Raw genomic sequence first — 9,152 nt, forward strand, 5'->3', positions numbered from 1 at the left:
TGAAAGTTCTCCGCTCCAGCAAACAGGACATGTAGCAGAACACTCATTGCCTTCCCTCTACTGAGGGTGTGATAAACCTTAAATACTAGAGGAGAAGACCCATGCTCTACAAGTCAGCAATTAGGTAAATTAGACAATTTCAGAAAGTGGCAAATTATTTAAAAGAAACAAAATAGAAGTCAACATACGTGGGCAGAAAATATGAAACAACCAATGAAATAACTAGTATTTGAGTGGCTAGCAAATTTCAGACCTAGATCCAATCTCTTTACTTGTTTAATTCATTCAATCCTCACAAAAATCTTAAAAGATGGATATCATTGTTCCCATTTTACAGATGAGGAAACTGACGCATAGGGAGGTTGAGCAGTTTGTCCAAGGACACAGAGGGCAGGTAGAGGAGTCTGTCTGATTGCAGGGTCGAGGTAGTTCCAAGGATCCCAACAACCTCCCACTTTCTGATTCCAGCTTGTTTATGACCTTCCTGCTTAGAATTCTGACAGCTATCCATTTTCCTTTACCATAAATTACCGTTTTTACTTAAGGTTGCATAAGTGGGTCCATGTTCCCTGCTACCAAAAGAGTCCTATCAGTATTTATAAATAAAAGAGTAATTTCCACTTTCAGTAGACTTAAACCTGCATGGAGAGGAAGGCTCTTCTCTTTTCCTTATTAGCATTGGACGCCTTTCTTTCCAACAGGTCCTGAGGGACAAAAGGAGATTGTATGAAGAAATATTTGAAGGATCCGGTGGACCTGAAGCTGAAACTAAATGGCAGGGTTGGATATTGAAAGCAGATAATGATTATAATGGTATTACTTTATTCTAGGCATGGAACACGGATTTATCTGTAAAATTCCTTTTGTGCATATTTGTTTTCAGGGTCCATCTCAATGGAGTTATATCAACTACTGCACCCTGAGAAGATTTATAACATGGAATTTGGTCCATCAACAACCACTTACAAAATCTGCCTTTCCCTTTGAAGATCTCTTCTGTCTCCCTCATTGGCATTTCTCAGCAGATACGTTTATTTTGTAAGGCAGGACCTGCTCGCATAAAATGGAAAGCAGGTGACCGGAGTGGAGATGAGTGTAACCACTGCGCTTCCTTGGCCTGAGATGATAGAAGACCAAACTCTGGCAGCTGTTAGAGAGAAAGGGCTTAGATAGATATTGATGAGTCTCCTGTGCACTGGTCAGAGAGTCAGTCTTGCCCGGTGGTCATGAAGAAGGTACAGAAGTCACAGATTATTTTTTCTTCCTCATGGAGCTGCCAAAAAGGAGACACCAGAGATTAGCATAGAACTGTTAATTTTTCAATCTTTTCAGTTTGTAACCTTTGGAGAACTTTCTCAAGAACCCACTAACCACTACTTCCTCTTTTTGTGACTACTTCTCTCTGTTCTTTTTTGACTCCACATGGTGTATGTAAAGCAGCCCTATCCTAGCAGAAGGGCTGAAGAAACAGTAGCTGCTAAAGAATAATCACAGTAATTGCCCATGGACAGGAAAGAGGGTAAAGGTCCATTTTAAGAGTAGTTTGTGTAGATAGGTTCACTCAACGAATCCAAGGAAGGGAGAGATAAGAATTTATAATTGTCAGGAAGAGAAGAATTTGTAAATATGATTTTACCACAAAAAGCAGAGTAAACAGAGGAAACTGAAGCATCAAGGGAACCTGTAAGAGGCTCCTACATTGTCAGTTATATTCTTATTTATTTATTTATTTATTTATTTATTTATTTATTTATTTTTTAGTAGAGTTGGGGTTTTGCCATGTTGCCCAGGCTGCTCTTGAAATTCTGGGCTCAAGCAATCTACTGGCCTCAGCTTCCCAAAGTGCTGGGTTTATAGGCGTGAGCCACCATGCCCGGCCTTTTGTCAGTTATATTTTTGACACACATGTCTCTTCATTCATCAGCAAGGCACTGTTTTTGTCTTGGATATTAAGAGTTTTCTCCTGTAAGTGTGTAGCACAGAAAATAATTAATACTTTAATCTATATGCCACCATATTCACTTTTGCAAAAAATGAAGCTGCTCTATAGACTGGGTGGCCCAAGGGTTATAGTTCTCTTGAACGGTAACCCTCAGTCCATGATTCTGAAATGGTCTTTTTCTGTTAGCAATTCCTATTTCTAATTCTTTCTCTCCTGGACCTAATTTTATGAGGTTTTGACCATCAAAACACCACACTTTAGAGAACACAATTGGAGAAGTGACTTGTCTCCACATTACCTGTGATAATTTCTTCTCTTAATCTCAAACTCAGATGAAGTCTTGGTTCCATATTTAGAGAAGTTTCAGTAGAAGTCCTCATGTCTTAACCTATGGCTAAGCAAGATATCTTGGTAAATTAGCACATGTTCATAATCTATTAAATAACCTTGGTAGGTTAAAGATACCATAAACAAAAGTAAAAGGCAAAAGACATACCATAGATATCTATATCACACATAATTAATTAAAGATTACTATCCTTAGTTCATTAAAAAACTCACATAATTTGTTAGGAAAAGAGTATCTTAACTTGTTGAAAATGTGAAAAATTTTTATCCTAAATGGACTATTGATTAAAAAAAGAACACTCCCTGAAACACATAAGATTATATTCTACTTCACTAATAGTCAAGTAAATTAAAATTTAAACAATAAAATGTAATTTCTGTTATCATTTTTGCAAAAACAATAAAGAAAGTACAGCACCCAGTGTTGGAACTCATAAATGATTTCCTGCTGGTGCCATACAATGTAAAAACTTTCTGGATTATGAGATGCAAAGTTCCGTATACTACTTTTCACAATAAAAGTTTATTCTGAGGAAGAGAGGAAAAGATTTCATCTCAAAGTTTTTACAAAAGCAAAAAAACAAAAATATACAGAAGAATGGTAAATTAGGGTACGTATATAGATGCAGTATTATAAAGCTATTAAACTCGCGTCTTAGAAGAATATTTTTAAAGCATGAAAAGTGTTCAAATATGTAAAATAAGCATTTAATACAATTGCAGTCCAAGTACGTAAAATGCATATACACACATATGTAGATACATCCTGAATAATGCAGACCTTACTGACCAATGAGTATAAATATGTCCATTCATAGTTAAGCTAGAATTTCACTTCTGGAATAATATTGTAAATTCCCTTCAGACAAGCCATCTAACTGGTAACAATCAGACAAGCCATCCAACTGGTAACAATTATATGTTACATAAAATACAGAAAATGACTACCTGAGAATTCTGAAGAGTAAAAGAGCAGCCAGGGTGTAGTGGGGAAATGAAATTTGGAGAAGTGACTGGCATAGCAGTTAGTTTTCCATTTTTATTGTAGATTTGATTTGTGGATTTGTTTTTTGTAGCAGAGAAGGCATATTGTAGGTTGGTAAGATTTTTGGTAGCTCATTGTCTTTCTGGCCAGAGGATCTAAAAAGGGAGTCTGATTAACCGCAGTTACTAGAAGGTGGAGGGAGAATTCCATAGAGGAGAGAGCCAGAGAAGGAAGTCCCTTAATTTTCTGTGTGGTTAAATACACAAGTTCAGGCTGACACCTGAGCCATATAAGCACAGGACTGTCTAAAAGCAGTACACCAAAGAACTAAATAATTGAATTAAGATTTAAACCACCACCTATGGAAGGAAAGGCAGAGCTTACACATTGAGTCTAACTGGGTTAAATGCCTGCTAAGACAAAAAACAAAAACAAAAACAAAAACAGCATGCTGGATGTCACAGAACACAGAATCTATACAACATAACATTAAAATGTCCAAGATAAAATGAAAAGTACTCAACATACAAAGAAGCAGGAAAATGAATTCAATTTTTCAGAATAAAGACAATCAATAGATGCTAGCTTCAGATGCATCTGATGTTGGAATTATTTGATGAGAATTTTTTTAGTAGGCACAATAACTATACTCAATGAGATTTTAAAAAATATATAAAATGAATAAAAAGGCAGGAAATCTCAGCTGAGATATATAAATAGAGAACCAAATAGAAATTTTTGAAATAAGTCTGTAACATATTTTAAAAATTTACCAAATGGACTTACAGTAGAATGAATAGGACAAAGGAAAGAATCAATAAAATTAAAACTATATCAATTAAATTATTCATCTAAAATATAGAAAGAAAGTTTGAAAAAATAAACAGAAACTAGGGACATGTGGGACAATATCAAGTCTATCAAAAACTGTAACATACATATATTTGGAATCCCAGCAGAAAAGGAGAGAAATTGGACATAAAATAATATTTAAAGAAATTGCAGCTGAAATCTCCTCAGATTTGGTGAAAAACATACATTTACAGGTTTGAGAAGTTCAATGAACCCTACACAGGATAAATTCAAAGAAAACCATACCAAAAACATAACCAGACTACTAAATATCCAAGATAAAGACCAAATCTTGATTGTAGACAGAGAAAAAACAAATTTTTAAAGAAAGGGACAACAATTATCAAACTTGGTTTTTATATTGAGCAAAAATATCCTTCAAAAATGCATGCAAATTTTTTTTTTTCAAAAAATAAGTAAAGCAAAATGTAGAGACTAACTGTCAGAAAACACTACAAGAGATTCTAAAGAAGTCCCTGTCGGAGACCAGCCTGGGCAACACAGTGAAACCGCGTCTCTACTAAAAATAAAAAATTTGCTGGGCATGGTGGCTCGCGCCTGTAATCCCAGCTACTCGGGATGCTGAGGCAGGAGAATTGCTTGAATCCGGGAGGTGGAGGTTGCAGCGAGCCAAGATCGCACCACTGCACTCCAGCCTGGGCGACAAGAGCAAAACTCTGTCTAAAAAAAAAAAAAGAAGAAGTCCTTAGGCTAAAGGGAAATGAAATTAGAAATAATGGGGATCATTAGAAAAAATTAACGACATTGTAAGTGGTAAATATCTAGGGAAAAATAGAAAAGACTGCATTTTTCTGTTTAAGTTATCTAAAATATAAGTACTTAACAAATTATAACAATTTTTCGTGGGATTTTTAAAACATACATTGATATAATGCCTATACATCCATCCTATAAATGATTGGACACTTATGGGATATAAATGAAAGGATAGGACAACCATCTTATAAATGATTGAAGGGGTGGACATATATATACCTATCAATTTCAAGATTCTACATTTTCAGTGGAGAGGCAGAGTATCAATTTTAAGTAGGCCATGAAAGATTAAGAATGTATATTGTAACCTCTAGATCAACCTTTGAAAACAATACAAGGATGTATTACTAAAAAGAAAACAGATACATTAAGATGGAATACTAAAATTTCAAATGATTCGAAAGAGAAAAAGGAGAAAAAATGAACAAAAAATGGTGGAGCAAATGGAAAATAAAAATTTTTTAAATTCAACCATATTAATAATTACCTTAACTATGAATAGTATAAGAATTTTAACTGAAGGAAAAGATTATCTAAATAGATTTTAAAAAGTAAGGCCAAAGTATATGATGCTTACAAGAAGCTCACTTGAAAAATAAAAACACAAACAGATTGAAAGTAAAAAAGATGGAAAATGATATGTTATTTAAACAGTAAACATAAGAGAGCTGAAGAGGTTACATTACTACTGAATTAATAAACTTTAAGACAAACAATATTATTAGACAAAAATAAGGTGTTTTATTTTAACAAAAGGGACTATTTCAGGAAGACATTACTAACGTGTGTGCATTTCTTACTAGGGTCTCAAAATATATGAAGCAAAAATTTGTGGTATAAAAACAGAAATAGAATAATTCTACAATCATGGTAAAAAATTTTTAACATTGCTTTCTCAGCCGTTGGTAAAATGAGATAAAAGCACAAAAAATTTGAACAACACTCACCACTTTCTTGATTTAATTAATTGATATTTATAGAACACTCTATTCCGAAACTGTAGAATATACATTATTTTCAAGTGCACATGTATGTCACCAAGAGAGACCATATGCCAGGCCATAAAACAAGTGCTGATAAATCTGAAAGGACTGAAATAATATTATGTTCTCCAACCACAAAGTAATTAAATTATAAGTCAGTACCAATAAGATATTCAGGAAAATCTCAAATACTTGAGAATTAACAACATATTTTAAAACAGCAATGTGTTGAAGAAAAAATGAGTATTAGAAACTATTTGGCACTGAATGAAATACTAAAATATGTACAAGTAATCTAGAAGAATGCTGGAAGGGAAAAGAAAAAAAAATAAAAATCAGAGGAAAACAAGAAACAAATAATAAGATGGAAGGCCTAAATCTAACCATATCAATGAGGACAATATTTGTGAGACACAGCTAAATGAGCATTAGGAGGAAAACTGATAGCTTTTAATGCTTATATGCAGAAGAATGAAACTAGACACCTATCTCTCACCATATACAATAAACAACTCAAAATGATTAAAGACTTAAATGTAAGACCTGAAACTAAAACTACTGGGAAAAAAAAAACAAAGGGAAAATACTTCAGGACATTTGTCCAGGCAAAAATTTTATGAATGAGGCATTAAAAACAAAGGCCACAAAAGCAAAAATAGGCAAATGGGATTTTATCAAACTAAAAAGCTTCTGCACAGCAAAGGAAACACTCAACAGAATAAAGAGACAAACTATTCGTCTGTCAAATGATCAATATACAGGATATACAAGGAACTCAAACAACTCAACAGCAAAAATGAACCAAACAAAAACAATCTGATTTAAAAATGGACAAAAATCTGAATACACATTTCTCAAAAGAAGACATGCACATGACCAAACCAGCATATGAAAAAATTCTCAACATCATTAATTATCAGAGAAATGCAAGCCAAAACCACAATGAGACATCATGTCACTCCAGTTAGAATGGCTGTTATGAAAAGGACAAAAAGTAACAAATGCTGGTGAGGATGCAAAGAAAAAGGAACTATTGGTGAGAATATAAATTAGTATATCCACTATTGAAAAGAGTATGAAGGTTTTTCAAAAAAACTACAAATAGGCCGGGAGCGGTGGCTCACGCCTGTAATCCCAGCACTTTGGGAGGCCAAGGCTGGTGGATCACTGGCGGTCAGGAGTTTGAGACCAGCCTAGCCAACATGGTGAAACCCCGTCTCTACTAAAAATGTAAAAATTAGCCAGGCAGGATGGTGGACGCCTGTAATACCAGCTACTCGGGAGGCTGAGGCTGGAGAATCGCTTGAACCCAGGATGCTGAGGTTGCAGTGAGCCAAGATTACGCCATTGCACTGCAGCCTGGGAAAGAAACATCTCTAAGTGGGTTCCCTGCTTTAGCATAAATGGAAGAGAATAATACAGAAGTACACCCACATTTATATAGGTAATTGGTTGTTGACAACAATGACAAGGTAATTCAAAGGAAAAACAAAAAACAGGTAATCTTCAAAACAGAGTGCTAAGATCATTGGATATTTGCAGGGGAGAAAAAATGACATCAACCCTGACCTCATGCCGTGATAAAAATTTACTTAGGATGCCTTACATAGCTAAACACAAGAGCTAAAAATATTACATTTCATAAGAAAATCTTTATGACATTTGGTCAGAGAAATAGTTCTAAACAGGACACATAAGGCATGAACTACAAGAAAAAAATGATAAATTCCATTAAACGAAAAAATTTGAAATTACAAATTACGGTTAAGAAACTGTAAAGGCAAGTCACCAAATGGGAGAAAATACTTGGTAGGCATTTATCTGACAAAGTTATATTGTATTGTATATTTTAAAACTTCATATTTTCTTGCTTCCTCAACAACCCACAAACAGGCTGAGAGCATCCTACCCAGACAACCAGGTGCAACAGTGTGGTAAGATTGGCCCCTGCCACAAGTTTCCTTTCCCAACCTCTCCTGACCATAACCTAGTAACATTTCAACACACCAGTAAAATTTTTCTTGTGTATCCCTTTTCTTGTGTGTCTCAACCTGAGTTCCAATAAAGGCACTTACCTTCTGGTGTTTGCCCGCTCTCTGCTCCCCACTTGCTTGGCTGAGCCTTTTTCCTTGGTGCTCTTTTCCACATCACTCCCTGTCAGCATGCAGTGACTCTGTCCCTCTAGGACCTTGAGTATAAGAAACTTGTTTTTTCCTTTGCCTCCTCTGTGTCTCCCTTGTGGTTGACCAGACTGACCATCACCAAAAATAACTCCTGCAACCACATACTAAGAAGACAACCCAAATTAACAAGAGGCAAAATAAAGTTTATTCAGTAAATAGTGTTGGAACAACAGGGTACTTATAAGAAAAACAAACAAACTTTTTTTTCTCACTATACGCAACATGAAAAAAATCACTTTATGTGGATTATAGATTTAAGTGTAAAAGTGAAAATATAATATTTCTAGAAAACAGACAAAGGAATTTTTTGTGTGTTTTAAATTAATACATCATAGTTGTACATTTTTGGGGGTATGTGTAATATTTGATACATGTATACATTGTGTAATAATCAAACAAGTGTGATTGGGATATCCATCACCTCAAACATTTATCTTGCTTCATGTTGGAAACATTATATTTCTTCTGGATATTTTAAAATGTACAATATATTATTTTATTTTTAAATATATAGTTTATTATTTAACTAAAATTTCCCCACTTTGCTATTGAATACTAGAATTTATTCTTTCTAGCTAACTGTATTTTTGCACACATTAACCAACTTCTCTTCATACCTCTCTCTCCCCTTCCCTTCCAAGCCTCTGGTAACTATCATTCCACTCTCTCTTCATGAAATCCAGTTTTTGGCTCCCACATATGAGTGAGAACATGCAATAACTGTTTTTCTGTGCCTGGCTTATTTAGCTTGATATGATGACCTCCACTTCCATCCATGTTGCTGCAAATGACAGGATTTCATTCTTTCTTATGGCTGTATAATATTCCATTGTGTATATGTACCACATTTTCTCCATTCATTTGTTGATGGGTACTTAGGTTTATTCTATATCTTTTCTATTGTTCATAATGCTGTGATAAACATGGGAGTGTCGGTATCCCTTCAATATATTGATTTTCTTTCTTTTGGATATACACAGTAGCAGGATTCCTGGATGGTAGAGCAGTTCTATTTTTAGTTTTTTGAGGAATCTCCATACTATTCTCCATTGTGACTTTCCTAATTTATATTCCCACCAAAA

At 34.5% G+C, this 9,152-nt stretch overlaps 1 long non-coding RNA gene across 2 annotated transcripts; it reads right to left on the reverse strand.

Moving 5' to 3' along the window:
- Positions 1 to 245: 245 nt before the first annotated feature.
- LOC105371457 (uncharacterized) lies at positions 246 to 8,159 on the reverse strand. Of its 2 annotated transcripts, XR_001738255.2 has the most exons (4): positions 7,963 to 8,159; positions 2,241 to 2,336; positions 967 to 1,273; positions 575 to 704 (listed from the first exon to the last, which is right to left on the reverse strand). It is a non-coding gene; the product is annotated as an uncharacterized LOC105371457 (long non-coding RNA). The 2 variants fall into 2 exon arrangements; XR_922184.3 differs by having other exon boundaries at positions 246 to 1,273.
- Positions 8,160 to 9,152: the final 993 nt, after the last annotated feature.

This window comes from Homo sapiens, chromosome 1 (genome assembly GCF_000001405.40).
Source record: "Homo sapiens chromosome 1, GRCh38.p14 Primary Assembly".
Taxonomy (NCBI): domain Eukaryota; kingdom Metazoa; phylum Chordata; class Mammalia; order Primates; family Hominidae; genus Homo; species Homo sapiens.